The 21496-nt window shown below is 35.4% G+C and overlaps 1 protein-coding gene across 2 annotated transcripts in view; it reads right to left on the bottom strand.

The window, feature by feature from the left end:
- Nucleotides 6355–21496, bottom strand: part of DARS1 (aspartyl-tRNA synthetase 1) — a 79804-nt gene continuing 64662 nt past the window's right edge. For both annotated transcript variants that reach the window (NM_001293312.1, NM_001349.4), the window contains 7 exons: nt 20927–21074; nt 16700–16846; nt 14943–14985; nt 12960–13040; nt 11856–11967; nt 11613–11684; nt 6355–7881 (listed from right to left, as the gene is read on the bottom strand). In NM_001293312.1, the coding sequence (NP_001280241.1) occupies nt 7790–7881; nt 11613–11684; nt 11856–11967; nt 12960–13040; nt 14943–14985; nt 16700–16846; nt 20927–21074 (695 nt within the window). In that variant the 3' untranslated portion in view covers nt 6355–7789. The remainder of the gene's footprint in view (nt 7882–11612; nt 11685–11855; nt 11968–12959; nt 13041–14942; nt 14986–16699; nt 16847–20926; nt 21075–21496) is intronic.

Here is a 21496-nt window from a genome sequence, read left to right on the forward strand (position 1 = left end):
TGTAAAATGCAGATTCACTGAGCCCTAATCAAAGCCTCACAAGAACGTATCCACTTGCCTCACTGCCTACCCTCCCTCCTTTTTTTACCTTCCCCTCCTGCTTGCTTTTTCCCCTTTAAATACTGAAGTTCCCCAAACCTTCTCTGTAGAAAGCATGGGTCACAGATCCAACTGTAACTTGTGTTTTGTTTCCCAGGCGCATCCTCAACCTTGGCAAAATAAACCTCTAATCAGCTGAGATCTGCCTCAGTCACTTTTTGATTTACAACACCATGTGGTGAACAAAGGACTACTTTGACTAGTGAGTTAGCCAATCATTTGTGCAGATGTTGACATTTGGCAGAAGGTGGAAAAATAAAACTGTTTGTATTAATCTGAGTCTACCCGACTTTTGAGAAACTGACGCAGCAGGTAGCAAATACAACTCAAAATCTAGAAAAACCCTCAAGTGCCAGCCAACTGAACTGAAACAGAAATTAGGAGAATGTTGTATTTTCTTTATGGTTAGACATTGCCAAAGGCAGTATCACTTAGAAGTCTCTAACCGTAGCCCAGAAACAAAAAACAACAACAAAACCCAGGCTATTTTAATGGTCTAAATACTTCCAGATCCTAATATATACAGTGAAGAAAAAAAGAAAAAAAAAAACTTCCAGGGATCACAGGAGCCTATGTTAAAAAACATATTCTTATCTAACCCATCTGTATAGTAATGTATTATATATACATTCACTTAAAAATATCAGTTAGGGCCAGGCACGATGGCTCACGCTTGTAATCCCAGCACTTTGGGAGGCTGAGGCGGGCAGATCACTTGAGGTCAGGAGTTTGAGACCAGCCTGGCCAACGTGGTGAAACCCCATCTATACTAAAAATACAAACAAAACAAAACAAAACAAAAAAAAACAACAACAGGCAAAAGACATGAACAGACGCTTCTCAAAAGAAGACACACAGCCAACAAGCATATGAAGAAATGCTCAATATCAATCATTAGAGAAATGCAAATAAAAACCACAGTGAGGTACCATCTCACACCAGTGAGGATAGCTATTATTAAGAAGCCAAAAAATAGCAGATGCTGGTGAGGTTGTGGAGAAAGGAAGTGTTTAAACACTGCTGGTGGGAATGTAAATTAGTTCAGCTACTATGGAAAGCAATTTGGAAATTTCTCAAAAAAACGTAAAACAGAACTACCCATTCAACCTAACAATCCCATTACTGGGTATATACCCAAGGAATATAATCATTCTACCCGAAAGACATATGCATGTATGTTCATCACAGCACTATTCACAATAGTAAAGACATGGAATCAACCTAAATGGCCATCAACAGTGGACTGGATAAAGAAAATGTGGTACACTTATAGCACGGAATACTATGTAACCATAGAAAAGAGTGAGATAATGTCCTTTGCAGCAACATGATGGAGCTGGAGGCCATTATCCTAAGCAAATTAATGCAGGAACAGAAAACCAAATACTGCATGTTCTTACTTACAAGTGGGTGCTAAACATTTAGTACACATGAACATAAGAAGGAGGAATAGACACCGGGGCCTACTTGAGGGTCAAGGGGGGGAGGAGGGTGAGGATTGAAAAACTACCTGTAATTTTCTTACAAACACCTACTCCAGAAAAAGAGACAAAAACAAAACAAAACAAAAAACTACCTATGTTTATTACCTGGGTGGTGAAATAATCTTTACTCCAAAACCTCCTCAACATGCAATTTACCCGTGTAGCAAACTGGCATATGTACCCCCTGAACCTAAAATAAAAGTTGGAAAAAACAAAATTCATGTTGAAACTTAATCCCCATTGTGGTGGTATTGAGGTGGGGCCTTTTGGGAAGTGATTAAGTCATGAGGCTGTGCCCTCACGAATGGATTATCCACCTTATTAAGGGGCTGGAGAGTAGTTTAGACCCTTTCTTGACCTTCTGTTCCTTCTGCCATGTGAGGATACAGCATTTATTCCCTCCAGAGGATGCAGCAACAAGGCACCATCTTCGAAGAAGGGACTGGGTCCCTCACCAGTCACTGCTGGCACCCTGATCTTGGACTTCTCAGCCTCCAGAACTATGAGAAATAAATTTCTGTTTTTTAAAATTACCCAATCTATGGTATTTTGTTATAGTAGTACAGACCAAGACAGTACACTTACATAATCCAGAAAATATACTCTTAGGTATCTATCCAAAAGAAATAGAAACATGTCTATATAAAGACTTGCAAATGATTGCTCACAGCAGCATTATTCATTATAGATTAAAAACTGGAAGCTACCTAGATATCCATTAACTGGTGAATGGATAAACAAATTATGGTATATCTATTCTACGGAATACTACTCAATAAAAAGAAACACATTATTAATATATGCAACAACATGGATCTCAAAAAATTATGCTTAATGGAAGAAGTTAAATACAAAAGACTGCATACTGTATTGTTCTGTTTATATGAAATTCTAGAAAAGGCAAAAACAGACCTTGAGTTGCTAGCAATGGGGACTGACTATAAAGATACACTATGAAACTTTCTGGGGCAGTGGAAATGTTCTGTAGCTTGAGTATGGTGAAGGTTAATTGACTCTATACAATTACCAAAATTCATAAAACTGTACACTTAAAATTAATTTTGTTGTGTATACCTGAACAAAATGAAAAAAATTTAAATAAAATTATCAAATTGAATTCAGTATATATACAAAATTTATTTTAAAAATGTTTATTTTTAGAGACAGGTTTTCACTGTGTCACCCAGGCTAGGGTATGGTGATACAATCATAGCTCACAGTACCTTGAATGCCTGAGCTCTAGTCATCCTCCTGCCTCAGCCTCCCAAGTAGTTAGGACTATAAGCATGTGCCGCCATACTGGCTAATTTTATTTTTTGTACAGATGAGGTCTTGCTATGTTGCCCATGCCCAGCTGCATACACAAAATAATATGTAGTGATCAAACAGTATTTATTCCAGAAAAACAGTATCAGGGATTTCTGTTATTATAGCCCACTGTATCCAAACAACATGAAAAAATCACAGCAAATACTGATAAAGTATTTGACAAATTCAAAATTTATTCATAATAGAAAATGAACTAATAAAATCTCCATTAACCTGATAAAAGACATTTATTAAAAATCTAAAGGCCAGGCGAAGTGATTCATGCCTGTATATCCCAGCATTTTGGGAGGCTGAGGCAGGTGGATCTCTTGAGTCCAGGAATTCGAGACCAGACTGAGCAACATACATTTTTTTGTCTCTACAAAAAAATACAAAAAATTAGCTGGGTGTGGTGACATGCACGTGTAGTCCCAGTTACTTGGGAGGCTGAGGTGGGAGGATTGCTTGAGCCTGGGTGGTCGAGACTGCAGTGAGCTGAGATTGCACCACTGCACTCTAGCCTGGGTAAGAGAGCAAGGCCCTGTCTCAAAAACAAAACAAAACAAAAAAAAAAACACACAACGAAAACAAAAACCACCTACAGAAATTATCACACTTAATCTCAAGACTTTAGTATTTAAATAAAAACAATACAAGCATGCCTCCATCACTGCTTTTATTCAACACTCTACTGAAGAACTAATCTAATGCAATCGGCAAATATAAGAATGAGACAGGAAGACTAAACTCTTATTTTGCCCCACACTATTCTGTGTTCTACACTTTTTAATTCCCATAATAGTCTCATGATGTAGGATTATGCAAATGAGGAAAGCTGAGGATAAGCAAGTTATCCAAGGTTATACATTAATGTAAGAGCAAAACCAGAATCTGAACCCAGGCAGTGTGGCTAACAGAATCCATACTTTTTACTGTTATGCTATCCCTTCTCACACCTCTCCATCTACCTTGAAAATACAAGATATTCAATACAAACTATTAGAAAGAGTAAGAGATCAAGAATACTGCTGCATAAAATGGCAACATATAAAAATTGATAACTGAGGCCAGGCGCGGTGGCTCACGTCTGTAATCCCAGCACTTTGGGAGGCCGAGGCGGGCGGATCACGAGGTCAGGAGATCGAGACCATCCTGGCTAACACGGTGAAACCCTGTCTCTACTAAAAATACAAAAAAATTAGCCATCTAAGAAAAAAAAATTGATAACTGATAGTGTTCTTTACCCTTGTAACAATTTAAAAATGTCACGGAAAAGATCCCAATCCTGCTACCAAGCAGAAGGGGCTCACTGCCCAATGCTCTAAGCCAATAAAATGACACTGGGTTTTTGAGAAAAGCTTTCTATTTCAAGTGACTTACAAGGAGACAGGAGTGCAGCTCAAATTGCTCTCTCTGTGCTGGTGTTAAGGCAGTGATTTTATCCTTCAGGGGGCGGATTCTGGGATTAGTAGGTGATTGGTGGAAGAGGTCTGGAAAGTTCTTCGGCATGTGTAGTTACCTCTTTATGGGTCCCATGTGCCAATTTGGAGGTAGTTAGTATAAAATATGTGGTGAAACTTTAGGCTGTAACATTAGCAAGCTTGCTGTGTAAACTCTAGTTAGCAATATTGCTTTTAACTGATTTTAGACAGTTTTGTTATAAGGGAGGGGAGTGTTAGTAAGTTGTTTTTTCTTATCTGTTTATCCTCCACACCCAAGAATTTGTTACTCAACTTTTTTTTTTTTTTTAACTCCTTGGGGCATGGTTTCATTCCCAATAGAAAAAACAAAACAAAACACTGTAAGGTGTTCTAACATAAACTGGAAAATTAAAAGCAGTTTTAATATGCTAATGTTAAGTAAAACTACAGTGAACAAAGTACTGTCTATATTATGATTGAATTCATGGGAAACATTTATTTCCGGGCTGAAGCCGAAAAAATACACAAGCTGGGCGTGGTGGCTCATGCCTGTAATCCCAGCACTCTAGGGGGCCAAGGCAGGTGGATTGCTTGAGCCCAGGAGTTCAAGACCAGCCTGGGCAACATGACAACTACTACATGTCTTTACTAAACATACAAAAGTTAGCTGGGTGTGGTGGTGTGCGCCTGCAGTCCCAGCTACCTTAGGAGGCTGAGGTAGACTGCTTGAGCCCAGGAGGTGGAGGATACAGTGAGTTGAGATCCTGCCCCTGCACTCCAGCCTGGGCAACAGGGTGAGATCTTTCAAATTTTGTTACACTGAATATTTTGTTTTCAAGAGTACTCATTAAATCCTGCCCACAAAAAAACACTAAGCTACCTCACCAGTTTCTCCCTTCATCACATGATTAGCAGATCCTTGGCAAGGCTGTTCTGACTCAGCTGAAATATCTTCAGATCTGCAAAGCACAAGGATATAGAGCTAAAATGGAAAGATATTTGCTTCCAGCATTAACAGTACTAAATTCTTTGATAATCTTGAGAATAAAATGCTGATAGGATAAATAATAACATCACACAAAAAGCAAAACACTTTTAAAGTATAAAATAAAAATGTTTTACTACAATTAAAAAAATCAATAAATGAAGAGATATACCATGTTCATCCACTGGAAGACTAAAGAGAGGGAAATTCCAAGTCTTTTCAAATTATTCTATAAATTTAAGGTAGTTCCAATGAAAATCTCAGGATTTACATATCAAATAAATCTGCAAAACAATATTAGACATTTATAGAAACATAAATATTTAGTGAAAATATAAAAACAAAAGAATAAAAGTTTGAATTCATATAATAGTTTCCTATAAGAGGGTACCTTAACTGCCCACAATTTCTTTTTTTTTTGATTTCTTTTCTCTTTAAAAAATAAAGTAAGGGCCAGGCACAGTGGCTCACACCTGTAATCCCAGCACTTTGGGATGCCCAGGCAGGCGGATCACCCCTGAGGTCAGGAGTTTGAGATCAGCCTGGCCAACATGGAGAAATCCCGTCTCTACTAAAAATACAAAAATTGGCTGGGCATGGTGGTGGGAGCCTGTAATCCCACCTACTTGGGAGGCTGAGGAGAATCGCTTGAACCGGGGAGGTGGAGGTTGCAGTGAGCTGAGATCATGCCACTGCACTCCAGCCTAGGCCACAGAGCAAGACTTGTCTCAAAAAAATAAATAAATAAGAGGTCAGGTGCAGCGGCTCACACCTGTAATCCCAGCACTTTAGGAGGTGAAGGCAGGTGGATCGCTTGAGGCCAGAAGTTCAAGACCAGACTGGGCAACATGGAGAAATCTTACCTCTACCAAAATACAAAAATTAGCCAGTCTCATAACCTGGTCTCAAAACAAATACATAAAAATAAAAAAAAATATTTGAAGCAAATATGATAAAGATTTGATAAGACTGGATAATAGGTACAAGTGTATTTTATCATGTTCTAATTTGGTCAGCATGTTTGAAAACCTTCACAATAAAAAAGATTACATCATTCTAAGACTTTACAAACTTTATTTTGAAACAAGCTATAATTACATGAAATTAAGAACAGCTCTAGGGCCAATATTATTGTACTATTTTAGGGTCTAGCAATTACACACTATAGAAGATGGATATTTTATTCTTGCTGTGGATTAAATTATGAAATACTTTTGGGGTGCCTTCTATATTTAAGGTATTCTGGTAGGATATGAAAGAAAAAAATAAGAACTGAATCTAAACTTTCAAAGACTGTACAATATAGATGGTAAACACCCCCTTTAACTTTCAAACATAATGGGCAGATGTTCGTGGTCCAGGGGTAACTTCCTAACTTTTTGACCCTCATATTTTTCTGCATGTAATTTTTTCTTCCTGTACAAAAATATGTTATGTTTTGTTCCTCCCCAATATTTGTGGTCATGTAAAATTAACATTAGCATCAACATTTGTAATAATCTAGAGGGAAAGTGTTTCTAACTAATTCTTACACAAAAATTTCTTTTTGACGGATAAGATGGGACTGGATTTTACTGACATTCACTAAGTATCAGTACCATTCCAGTTAAAAATCAAACAAAATTCTGCAATATATTTTAACCCATGTGAAATGAACTCTGTCAACCGACCCAAGCTGTCAACTTTAAGAGCTCTATCCCTACGCCCATCTAAACTAATATCCTGAAATGAATACATGTTGACAACATATTAGTCTTTATTTATATAAACTAGTTGTGTATTTTTTCTTTTACCAAATTATGAATGCCTAGCACCACTTACAAAATCAGTTGGCCACAAAGTTACACAAAAACTACAATTAGCTTTAAAATTTTATTGAAATTCAAGTTTAGAATTTAACAAATTAATACAATATTACACTGAATACTTTCTAACCAGTAGTTTAGCTTTACATAATTTCTAGGCATAACTTTTAAGAACTGATACTTTCTGGTTAATTTTCCATGATATGCCAATTATACATTCATTAAAATTTCAGATGCTACCTGAATTATTCTTATCTCAATGACAGAATTTAAAAAAATAAGTTCAAATACTGAAAATCTAAGACATTAACACTGGGGCCCTTGTAATATAGAAAAGAAGAAAAATTGTACAATCTTAACTGTTTAAAACTCTTAACGTTTACTGTAGTAACAGAATATGAATTTGTAACATAACCATATGAATTTCTCAAGTTATTTCCTACTGATGCATGTCTGAAGTTATAAAAATCTCTTTTAAACGAACCTATACTGAATTACTCCAAAAATAACAGTGATATTTTAGGGCCTTGCAAATTTATTCTAGTGCATATTTTAAGTACCTAAAGTACAGCCTGTGCACTAGCAGGTTACTGAAAAGAATAAGTGTGGCTTTCTTTTTTTTTTTTTTTTTTTGAGGCAGGGTCTCGCTCTGTCATCCACACTGGAGTTAAGTGGCAAAGTGTGAATTTAAGGAGTGAGTCGTTTGGGATCACGAGGGAACATGGAGGTCTGACGAACATTATGCAATCCCAGAAACAGCATAGTAACTCGTTCCAATCCTGGGGAAGACAAAAATAATCATTAATTCCTTTTTGAAAATCTCTCAGGGTCTTACTTAGAACTACAAACATAAATGTAATCGTTAAACTAAATACTTTTCCTTGTTAGGAAAGAAAATGACTCTTATTATTTTGGGTTTATTTAAAACTGTTTTGAGTATTGATTCAGAAATAAAGATGCTGCTATAAATGAAAAGGACTAAGTAATATATCCTTGAGTGGTATGGAGTCTAAAATGTGAACCACAAAAATCTATACGAATGAACAAAATCTATGATGTAACAATAAGAAAAACAAAACAAAAGACTTTATAAGCTTGAACGTTTCAAATGATACCACACTCTGATTATACAGTCCAGGCAATGAGGATGAGAGCCATAAACTTGCTTAAGCAATAATAGAAGTATGAGAAAATTTACTGTTAATTTTATAGACATTTAACATGGTGGACCCTACGATAAAAAGCTCTGGAGTACATTATTATACTAAGTGTTTTGACTGTAAAGAAGAAACTGATTTTTGGAAGGTGGTTAACAAGATTATGGTCTCTCCTTTCAATTGATTCTATGTAGAGATGTAAAAAGAATGAAAAAGCTCTTCAGGTATTGATAGGAAACAAGTTACAAGATACATTAAAGTATTTCTTCTCCATCCGGACTCATATTAAAAAAATGATACATTAAGTAAAAAATGCAAAGTACTAAATGGTTTATATATAATAGTATGCTACAATTTGTGTAAAAATATTTAAAGAAATGTGTGTGTCTTTTCGTATATGAAAAGGTATCTTTGCAAAGGTTAAGCTGAAAACTAGAAACAATGCTTTCCTGTAGGGAGGCGAATACGCACTATTCTTTTTCCTCCTCCAATTTAAAAAACAGCGTTAAAATACATAAAAAATCTACCATCTGAACCATTTTTAAGTGTCCAGTTTAGTAGTGCCAAATACACTCACAGCATTGTGCAATCATCACTGCCATTCATCTCTATAACTCTTAAAAAAAATCATGTTTATATCCAAAGGAATGGGACTGCGGGGTCAAATGGTATTTCTGGTTCTCAATCTGTGAGGAATCGCCATACTGTCTTCCACAATGGTTGAATTAATTTAAAATTCCCACCAACAGTGTAAAAGCATTCCTATTTCTCTGCAACCTTGTCAGCATCTGTTGTTTCTCGACTTTTTAACAATTGCCATTCTGACTGGCGTGAGATGGTATCTCATTGTGGTTTTGATTTGCATTTCTCTAATGATCAGTGATGTTGAGCTTTTCTTCATATATTTGTTGGCTCATAAATGTCTTCTTTTGAGAAGTGTCTGTTCATGTCCTTTGCCCACTTTTTAATGGGGTTGTTTGTTTTGCTTTTTTCTTGTAAATTTGTTTAAGTTCCTTGTGGATTCTGAGTAATAAAGATACATGCACGTGTATGTTCATTGCAGCACTATTCACAATAGCAAAGACATGGGATCAACCCAAATGCCCATCAATGATAGACTGGATAAAGTAAACGTAGTACATATATACCACGGAATACTATGCAGCCATAAAAAGGAGTGAGATCATGTCCTTTGCAGGGACATGGATGAAGCTGGAAGCCATTATCCTCAGCAAACTAATGCAGGAACAGAAAACCAAACACCACATGTTCTCACTTATAAGTGGGAGCTGAACAATGAGAACACATGGACACAGGGAGGGGAACAATACACACTGGGGCCTGTCGGGAGGGTGGGGTGGGGGACAGCATTAGGAAAAAGAGCAATGCATGCAGGGCTTCATACCTAGGTGATGGGTTGACAGATGCAGCAAGCCCCCATGGCACATGTTTACCTATGTAACAAACCTGCACATCCTGCACATGTATCCCAGAACTTAAAAAAACAAAAAATAAAAAACCATATGTAACGACCTTAACTGGTGCTATTTATTTTTAAAATTTTGCCCAGCTTTATTGAGTTATAATTGACAAAAATTGTATGTATTTACAGTGTATGATGTGACACTCTGATACACTGTGAAATGATTAAATCAAGCTAATTAACATATCTATCATCTTGCATACCTATATTTTTTGTGGAAAGAACATTTAAAATCTACTCTTTTAGCAATTTTCAATGTGGAACAATGGATCTCCAGAACTTAATCATCCTAAGTCAATCTTTATACCCTTTGACCATCTTCTCCCCATTCCAACAACCATTCTACTCTTTGTCTATGGGTTCAACTTTTAAAAGGTACCATATATATGTGAGATCACACAGTATTTGTCTTTCTGTGCCTGATGTGCTAATTTGTTTAGCATGATGTCCTCTATGTTCATCTACATTGCTACAAATGACAGGATTTCCTTCTTTTGTAAGGCAGAGTGTTATTTCATTGTATAGATAAAATAGGTTTGAGTATTCCTAATATGAAAATCCAAAATGCTCCAAAATCTGAGACTTTTTGAGTGCCAACATGATACTCAAAAACATAAACAAAAAAACCAAAAAATGCTCATTGGAGCACTTCAGATTTCTAGATTTGGCATGTTCAACCAGTAAGCACAATGCAAATATGATAACAAATGAAAAAAATCCAAAATCAGACACACTTCTGGTCCCAAGCATTTTGGATAAGGGATACTCAATCTATACTTTCTTTATCCATTCATCCACTGATGGACACTAAGGTCATTTCTATATCTTGGCTATTGTAAATAATGCTGCATTGAACATCAGAGTGCACAAATCTCTTCAACATGCTGATTTCATTTCCCTTGGTATGTAAGACCAGAAATGGAATTTCTGAATCATATGGTAATTCTCTTTGTAATGTTTAGAAGAATCTCCATCCTGTTTTTCATAATGGCTGTACCAATTTTACATTCCCATCAACTATTTACAAACAAGGATTCCCTTTTCTCCACATCCTTACCAACAATTATCCATTACCTTTTTACTAACAGCCAGAGGTGTGAGATGGTTATCTCATTGAGGTTTTAATTTATATTTCCCTAATGTTTAGTGATGTTGAGCATTTTTTCATATACCTATTGGCCATTTATATGTAGGTTTTACATTTAGGCCTTTGATCCATTTTGAGTTAATTTTTGTATATGATGTTAGGTAAGGGTCTAATTTCAATCTTCTGCAAATGGACATTAGTTTTTTCTGTACCATCTGTTGAAAAAACTGTCTCTCGACCAATTTTAATTTGAAAATTTTGTAAGTACATTTTGTATTTTCCAAAAAACCCCAAAACAAACAACAAATAAAAACTTCAATGAAACTATACATTCAAAAAATTTTTTAAGAGTGTTTGATATGGACATCCAAAGATGAGTTAAATATTTGCTCATTTTAAATTGCAGAGCAGTCCCTTACATATACTGTAGAAGTGATCTTAAAGTGAATCAAGTGCTGCATCTCAATAAAAACACTTAGCAGCTCTTTGAGCTATTTTAAGGTAGAGCTTTAATTTGTGCTAATGCGAATGAACTCACAGCAGCAGAGAGAAAACAGGATACTCCACTTACAAGACATTTGGCTTCTAAATTCTTAAGAGAAAAAAAATGGCTAGAACTTTATGACAATAATATTTTATAACACACAAGTTAGCTGTTTATTTTGTTTCTTGGAAATCAAATTTTCACTTATGTCGTAATTCACTTTTAAAAATTCTTGTAATTCAAATTTGTATTATACTTAGAACTTATGAACTTATTTGTAAGCAATAACAGAATATTACCAATGCCTCCACCAGCATGAGGAGGGGCTCCAAAGCGGAAGGAATCAATGTAAGCCTTAATTTTCTCCAAATCTGCAAAAAGACACAAAACAAAATATAATTTATCATCTTATTTATCTTAAAAGGTCACAAAAGCAATTACTGTTCAATGGAGATTTTTAAAAAGACTGAGAAGTCTTTTAAATGTTTACAATGTATTATTTTCAGAATATACACTCCCCTAAATTATTTTAAGTTGTTTACCAATTCCATGATGTAAAGCTCTCTCTGTTAGCAGTTGAGGATCATGTATTCTTTGAGCTCCTGACAATATTTCTTCTCCTCTCATGAACATATCGTAAGAGTTGGACTGTTTCTGCAAGAGAAAAAACACCAGTCCTCAAGTGACTACCATCCTATTTCTATTACATATATACGGAAAAAAATCTCTGCTGCATGAAGAGCAAGTTCATTTTTTCCTACAATTAACAATGCAATCTTGTTCTCTAAAGTAGAATTAAACTACTGAGGGCTGAATAACTTTTTCTTTGTTTATATCAGATTCTGTGCTCTCCTCCCACACCCCCCAATAACAAATCAGAGCATCACATCTAATTTTTAAGAAGCAGTGCTGATCCTTATTTCACTTTATCATCTGAGATGTTTTTAAGAATGATATTATTTTGGGGTGACTTTTGGAACTCCAAGTTATTAACAGGTGTGAGTCTTTAAATTATTATTATTTTTACTTTAATCCCCTGTCTTTCAATAAACCAGTGGTTCCCAAAGTGTGATTCCTGGACCAGTAGCTTCAGTATTACCAGAAATTTTTTACTTGGTCTGGAGTGGGGCCTGCAAATTATCAGGCTCCCATTCCACAGCAACTAATGAGAAATTCTGCCTCAGCAACTGGTGTTTTAAAAAGCCCTCCAGGTGATTCTGATGCATGGTAAAGTTTAGAAACCACTGCAATGGAAAAACGGTAAAAGACCGTAAGACATTATTTAGATTATTAACTCCCAGGATACAATGTGAATTCCCAGTTTAAGGTCAATGACAGGATGATTTACTAAAGTATGCAAATCTAGTAGTACTATTTATAATTTACATAGTCTTTCTCTCTCATAAATCTTCAGAAAAATGACCAAGTAAAATGATTTTAACATAGGTTTTTAAAACTAATTTTCTAGAATATTCAAATTTTACAATATCATTTTGACCAGTGGTGACAGACATCAATGGTAATACGTATGTCTATCAAAACTGCAAATTATTAATGAAAACCATTATTCCTATTATACAATCTGACAGTGACAATAAAATTTCCCTTCTGCCTCAAAATGGGTTACTTAAAACCAAATTACTTACGGGATTTCTTGGGTCAGGCATGGTATAGAAAGGTCTTACAGCCAATGGATATTTATCAAGAATATAAAAATCTGTATCATACTATAAAAAGAATAAATGCAATTAAAATACATTTTTAAAAAGTAAAATGGCTAACATTTTGGTAATTAACTTTATACAAAAATTTTGGTTCTTCGTAATTACTCTAATTATATTGTATATACAATGAATATCTTGCTTTTTTCAGTAACATTTTTATCCTACAGCATTTTGCCATGGTGTCATAAATTCTTGCAATACCTAATTTTTAGGCATTACTTATTATCCATAGTTTTTAAATTTTTTTTTTTTAAGAGATGGGGTCTTGCTCTGTTGCTTAGGCTCGAGTGCATGATGAGATCATGGCTTAAGCAGGAGCCTGGCTAATTTTTAAAATTTTTTGTAGAGATGGAATCTCGCTATGTTTGCCCAGGCTGGTCTTGAACTCCTGGCCTCAAATGATCCTCCTACCTTGGCCTCCCAAAGTGCCAGAATTACAAGCATGAGCCACAGTGCCAGGCCTACGGTTTAAATATTCATTTTTTTCCTTTTTTTTTTTTTGAACATGTAAGCCCTTTCTAATTTCTCCCCCATTCTAAATTACACTTTGATAAACATCTTTGATTTTTACTTTTTTCTTTGTTATTCTAGTTCATCTAGTCATTCTGATGCATTTTATAATGAAAAAAATTATCTCAAATCCTTTTGATTGTTATAGAAACTATATTAAGTCCATGAATTATTTTGGGAAATTTGATGTATTTTACAATATCCATCATTGAAAAACATGGATTATCTTCCCAAGAATTTAAATTTTTATCTAGATATATACATGAGATTTTGGTAGTTTTCTTCAAATGAATGCTACAACTGAAAGAAATAAATGACATTAACTTGAAATTATGACTTTTTTTAGAGAATGCTTACTATGTGACCTAGATTTAATTAAAAATAAATAAATTACATTTGAGGGCCCGGCGCGGTGGCTCATGCCTGTAATCCCAGCACTTTGGGAGGCCAAGGTAGGTGAATCACCTGAGGTCAGGAGTTCGAGACCAGCCTGGCCTACATGGTGAAACCCTATCTCTACTAAAAACACAAAAAATTAGTTGGGTGTGGTGGTGGGCGCCTGTAATCCCAGCTACTCGGGAGGCTGAGGCAGGAGAATCGCTTGAACCCAGGGGGTGGAGGTTGTAGTCAGCCAAGATAGTGCCATTGCACTCCAGCCTGGGCAACAAGAGCGAAACTCCGTCTCAAAAAAAAAAAAAATTACATTCCAACAGTTTTTGACTTTCAACATTTTTGATAAAACTTGAGATGAGGATGTTAATAGCTGACAAACTGAAACTGGCTCTGCTGAAACAGCATTTTAAAGGTATAAACTGAATATTGTATGACTTCAGAAATATCAGTTCTCTAGTCTAACAGTTTCAACTGCCACCAGTAGGAGGAGCTCAAGGACTAATTTTCCTTTTCATTATATCATTATCTTAAAAATTTTAAAAAGATCATACTAAGTTTAGCTTTTATCCTCTTTGGAGTCTTGGTTTTAGAAAATGAGATTGGAAAGTAGCTATTACATAAGAGGGAGAGAGGAACCTCATTCATCTTGAAGTCTCATGAGACAGCAGGGGTACACAGGGAAGACCATTTCTAAATAATTTTCAAATAACTTGGAGGTCATTTCCAACTAATCCGACATAGGTATCACTTTTAGAGACACCTCAGAACAACTTCGTAAAAATATTAAATACTGAGTTAATCAGATCATCTGGGAGAAAGGCAGGCTGTCTGAATATTTCTCAATTTTCTAAGAAAAAAATTTTTTTAATGTTGTCCTTCTTCGGTTTTTATTTATTCCAGAATCATACCATTCTAGGAAGCTCAGACCCCTCTGCAATTGTTTTTAGTCCCAAGAGACATTTCAGAATTAGAAAAAGAAATCCAGCATATAAAGAGTCCTACCTTTTCCTTTACCAAATGACCCAACAGCTTTTCATTTGGTGTGCTGAAAAAGAAACGTGAAATCAGTGTTTGAAGATCAAATGGCAACTTAAAAACATTAATAAGGAACTTCTTCTATTTGAGTTTCTCAAGGGATTACAAAATTTGGCCAGAACACGCAGTTGTCTATTCTGCTCTTTTCTTAAAAGGCAAGTACTACTGAAAATCACTTATGAGTATACCTTGGTACAGTGACTCAGTGCTTAGTAGATGCTGCTCAAATATTTAATTAAAGCAATAAACAGAATATAGCAATTCATTGATTCAGAAATATCATGGATGAAGTAATTTCCTACAATTACACATAATAAAAGTTCGCTATACTAATATGGGCTAGTCTTGCCATGAAATAATCTTCCCTTTTTGGTACTCTTTATCAATGGTTTATGAAATAAAAATTAGTATTATCCAAGGTTTTAAAAGTGTTTATATAAACACGTTACATTTCTATGGCCAAGAGGTAGCTACTTCAGCTTCTATCTTATGTAAAAACAATTTCTAAAATACTTAAAAAAATACTACCTAAGCTTATAGGATTTTCATCTTGCCTTAAAATGTCATCTAGCAATGTAGGCAATATTTAAAGCCATATATATATATTTTTTTTTGTTAAACAAAAATAAAGGGTTTTGGGTGAATTGTTTTTTGAGAAACCCTAAAAAGTGACAATAATCATTTCCTTTCCCTCCTAAATACACATGTATTGTGATGGTTTAAAGGAATCATTCAAGGAAGTCTTGAATAAAATATAAGTAGATAGAAATTACCTTTACATGTTTTGTTTATTTATTTTTTACAGACAGGCTTTCACTCTGTCACCCAGGCTGGAGTACAGTGGCATGATCATGGGTTACTACAGCCTTGATACTCCTGGGCACAAGTGATCCAATTGCCTCAGCCTCTGGAGTAGTTGGGACTACAGGTGTGTGCCACCATGTTCAGCTAAATTTTAAATTTTTTTGTACAGACAGCATCTCTCTGTGTTGTCCAGGCTGGTCCCGAAATCCTGGCTCATATGATCCTCCTACCTTGGCTTCTCAAAGTACTGGGATTACAGGCATGAGCCACCATGCCCAGCCTCAATCTTTATTAAACTACATAATTTGTTTCAAAATTATAAGTCGTATGATCTAAATTTAGATAATACTATACTAAATACTATATATAATATAGTATGTATGACACTATATAAACAATATTGACTTTTATAACTTTTGGATGTTAACAGTTTATACCCCGATCCTGTGTGGGGATGGATTTAGACTGCTGTCTACCTTCTCTAATACCACTAATCTGGAAAGAGAAGTAACATATTAGAAGATAAAATCACAGGCAAAACTCTCTATACTCTTTAAAGAGTTACAAACATGAGGGGAAAATAATGGAAAATGGTGTTTATAAACAAAATTATGAAAACTTAGGCAAACTATAGTAAACACTTTTATTTCAGATCACACATTATATAAAAGAGCATCATACTGTATACCAAAGTTAATAAAATGTAAGTGTATCAGGTGAAAAAAATCATTTATTAATATTTTCATTTTTTCTTATCTTAAACCAAATTACCAAGGTTTTAAAAATCACAAAGACAACTTGGAGGACGGGTCAATAGGTGCAGCAAACCACCATGGCACATGTATACCTATGTAACAAACCTGCACGTTCTGCACATGGATCCTGGAACTTAAAGTAAAAAAAAAGCCACAAAGACAAACCTCAGATCGTCTTCATCTCCCATTTCGACTCCAGCTTCCCTAAGCATAGCCAATGCTTCACAATATTCTAGTCTTAGAGTTGGCTCCAAAAATTTGAATGGCTCACATGGGAACTGTTTATTCACTGTTTGAATTTCAGTCTGAAACCTATTTGCAGAATGATTTAGTTAATAAAATGTATGAGATAAATGTTTCCCCCACAAGAGGTCACTGTGGCAATATACAAAAATCAATCTTTGAATCAGTATATACACCAGGAAAAGCATTATCAAATTATTAAAGAATGAAATTTAAATACTTAAAATATTTAACACCATTTTTCAATCTCGTTTTTGTAACCACAGTAACATCAAAGGATTAAAAATTTTCTTTATAATTCATATCAGTTAATATGGTTAGAAATATAAAATGCCCATTTTATGAAGCATTACAAAAATCTGACTTTTTAATCCTTTAACAATTCTTGTTATCACTGAGGAAGACCAAATTAATGAGTATTTGTCTTATCTTCCCCCATCAGTATTACACTGTATGTTCAGGGGAGTGCCAGTTTCTTTCCCATTTTGATAATCTCTATAGTACAATGCCTACCCTATATATATAGAAGGTACAGGACAATGTTTACTGCACTGAGCTGAATTTCTGCTATGGAAGATGATATTTTATTGAGATTTAAAAGGTCTATTTTTGACCGGGTGCAGTGGCTCACACCTGTAATCCCAGCACTTTGGGAGGAGGATCACTTGAGGTCGGGAGTTTAAGACCAGTCTGGCCAACATGGTGAAACCCCATCTCTACTAAAACTACAAAAATTATTTGGGTGTGGTCGGGAGGCTGAGGCAGGAGAATTGTTTGGGCCTGAGAGGTGAAGGCTGCAGCGAGCCAAGATCGGCCATTGCCCTCCAGCCTGGGCGACAGAGCAAGACTCGTCTCAAAAAAAAGAAAAAGAAAAAGAAAAAAATGTCTATTTTTGCTGGAGTATTTATGTATTAAATGATGGCTGGGATTTGCTTCAAAATAATAGTGAATGAGGGAAATGGGTAAACACAATTGGCCACAGGTTGACAAGGACTGAAACTGGTTGATGAGTTCATGGGGGCTCATTAGACTATTGCACATCCTTTTGTATGTGTTTGAAATTTTTCCATAATTAACAGACTTGAAAAAAGTATGTTTATATTCTATATACAGAAAAAAGTATGTTTGTATTTTATATATAGAATTCTTTACCTAGAATTTACATTCTATTTTTATTTTTTTTAATTTCTGAGACAGGGTCCCACTCTGTTGCTCAGGCTGGAGCGCAGTGGTGCAATCTTGGCTCACCACAACCTCGGCCTTCTGGGCTTAATCGATCCTCCCACCTGAAGCCTCCTGAGTAGCTGGGACTACAGGTATGTGCCACTATGACCGGCTAATTTTTTGTTACTTTTTGCAGAGATGGGATTTCACCATGTTGCCCAGGCTGGTCTTGAACTCCTAGGCTCAAGCAATCTGCCCGTCTCGGCCTCCCAAAGTGTTAGGATTACAGATGTGCACCATGCCCGGCCTAGAATTTATATTCTCGAAATTAAAACACTATCATTTCTTGATTGGTCTTACAGGCTTTCGTGGGAATAATAAAGCTTAGCCATTGATTTATTAAAATCTTGATGTAAGAAGGGTTAAAAAGACCCCATAATTGATTTTTTTAAATTTGTTTTTTATTTTTTTAGACGGAGTCTTGCTCTGTTGCCCAGGCTGGAGTGCAGTGGAGCTGTCTCGGCTCTCTGCAACCTCTGCCTGCTGGGTTCAAGCAATTCTCCTGCCTCAGCCTCCCAAGTAGCTGGGACTACAAGCGTGTGCCACCATGCCTGGCTAATTTTTTGTACTTTTAGTAGAGATGGGGTTTCACCATGCTGGCCAGTCTGGTCTCAAACTCCTGATCTCCTGATCTGCCCACCTCAGCCTCCCAAAGTGCTGGGATTACAGGCATGAGCCACTGAGCCCAGCTCCCAAATGATTTTTAAATAGCTTTTCTTTGCTTTATATATCAACTCCCATTCATCATGTCTATCAATGGTAGTACAAAAATATGACTATCAATACTTTAAAATACATTTATATATGTATTTTATACACATATATATTTGGATATATATACAATACATATACATACAATAGAATACAAATACATTTGTATATGTATTTTTCTATGAGAGGTAAATACTAATGATAAACACGAGAGGAACATGACACAGGTCAGATAACCCAATAAACAAGCCCTGACACCAAAACTTAAAATTCCTAAATGACTTGAAGAACATACAAAGAAGGTTTTTATTTTCAAATTGCCACCTTAACTCTACTGAAAAAGTTCAGCAGTAATGGCGTTTGAGTCTAATTTGTAAGTAGAGATTTGATTAATCCCAAGGACTCAAATTCATGCTTGGTCTGTTGTTATAAAAATCAAAGTGGAAATGTCAAACTCTATTATTTAATGGAGAAGCTATCAGTATTTTTAAAAAATGAGTTTCTGAAACTTTCTTGGATTATAAATGCGAACAGAAAATGAGAAAAGCTGTGTGTGCTCCTTCATTGTAGTTCTAAAGTATATTTTGTCTTATAAGGAAAATGTTATCAGTTGTTCCATGAACCATTGAAAACTGATTAAAATAAACTGCATCAAAATGTTTTAGAGAACAAAGATATAAAAAGAAAAAGGCTGTCTGCAATTAACTAGCTATCAAAGGTACAAAGCTGCAGAGAATGCCTGGAAATACTGGCACTTATGCTACAGTATTCTTAAGATCAGTGATTGATTTCTACATTCTATTTTTTCTTTGAGACAGAGTCTTGCTCTGTTGCCCAGGCTGGAGTGCAGTGGCGTGATCCAGCTCACTGCAACCTCCGCCTCCTAGGTTCAAGTGATTCCCCTGCCTCAGCCTCCCAAGTAGCTGGGATTACAGGAGCGTGCCACCATGCCCAGCTAATTTTTGTATTTTTAGTAGAGATGGGGTTTTGCTAAGTTGGCCGGGTCGGTCTTGAACTTCTGACCTCAAGTGATCCGCCTGCCTCAGCCTCCCAAAGTGCTGGGATTACAGGCGTGAGCCACCTTGCCAGGCCAATTTCTACATTCTTAAACATACTCATTAGCCCTGCAATGCAGTAAATAAAATTCGTATTTTTGAACTCTTTTAAAATACCAATGAAACATATCAAATACATCAACAAGGAATAGTTGAATTGCTGGTCTTCAAATAAAAATTTTAAATATGATCTTCTGTCACTTATTAAAATGCTAGCTTAGACTATTATAGCTTACCTAATACTTGAAATATAGTCACAAATACAGAAAGAGGGAAAAATAGAGACTTTCTTAATCAACTTGACTCGGTTCTATTTTCTTTTCCTATTTTCTCTATGTTAAACATCATCATAAATAAACAACTTTCAATGACCTGTAAAGGGAAGAGCTCTTTGCCAGTTTAGAGGGTGTAGGTGAAGTGCACATTCTACATGATTCAATTTTCTGAACATCTAGAACACATCTAATATTTCTATAAATGTTAATTCATCAGATCCAAATAGATTTAAATATCCGTTCAGTCTACTAGTTTCTAATCTTTACTGAGCACTTAATGTAAATATAAATTGATTTAAGAATTAACCATATTTGACCAGGCTTAATTTACATGTCGACAGATTCAGTTGACTGAAGGAACTTTTTGCCTCTGAGGTGGGTAATAATGCTATTTCCACTTAATGGCTGAGGAAACTGAGGCACAGAATTAAATAACCTGCACAAGGCCCACACAGAGAAGGAGCAGAGCTGGGATTTGAACTCAGGCTATCTGGATGTTGCTGAATCCAACCTCTTACACACTACCCTCATACTGTTTCCCAAATAAACTGTTAAAAGAAACACATGCTGTATTTCTTGAGACATTCGGGATGTCAGTATAAAGGAAACAAAAACAACAACAAAATACAGTTGGACTGTTCACAATGTGGTAAATTTACTAGCACAATAGAGGTTAATTAGTTGAGCCCCCAAATGATTTGGATCCAGAAGCAGTATTCTGAGTGTAGATTTTTCCAACCAATTAAATGGATCATCTAACTGGTAAATCTTTATATATATGTTCATAGAAACTTAAGTTTGTATGTTTAAATTGAAGAATTTTTTTTTTAAAGGGCCCAAACATTTGAAATTAAGTCCATCTAGGTGCATAAAATACTTTTTACCTTTCTTGAAGTCCTTTGAATATTTGTACCATGGTGTCAGCAATTTCTTCCATAACTTCGTGGTAATGGTAATTAAAAGCCATTTCAATGTCCAAACCAACAAACTCAGTTAGATGTCTATGGGTATTAGAGTCTTCCGCTCTGAATACTGTGAAGTTAATAAAAGAAATAGAGAGCAAACACTGATTTCAATTTTGGATAAATAGGGATTTAAATACAAACTTTTATTTAGTTGGATTCCAGTGGTATTATTTTCATATTACAGGGCTGGAAGGACCTCTGATGAACCATCTGTTTGAGCATTATCTTGGACAGCAAGTTCATTATAAACTCCTACGGTCGTGCAATAAAAGCCGTACCAAATGTAAATTAATAAGAGAGGTTCATGAGAACCCTGGGGGAATGCAAGATCCTGAGGTGTCTTCTCAATATTTAAAAATATATTCAATTATGACCAAGATAGTGAGTTCTTCTCAATTTTATTAAAACCTGACTCAAACTAAGTGAAACTCTACCAATAAAGTAACATACGTATTCCATTTGACTACAGTAGTCATTTATAGGAATATT

This window comes from Homo sapiens, chromosome 2 (assembly GCF_000001405.40).
Source record: "Homo sapiens chromosome 2, GRCh38.p14 Primary Assembly".
NCBI classification, from domain to species: Eukaryota; Metazoa; Chordata; class Mammalia; order Primates; family Hominidae; genus Homo; species Homo sapiens.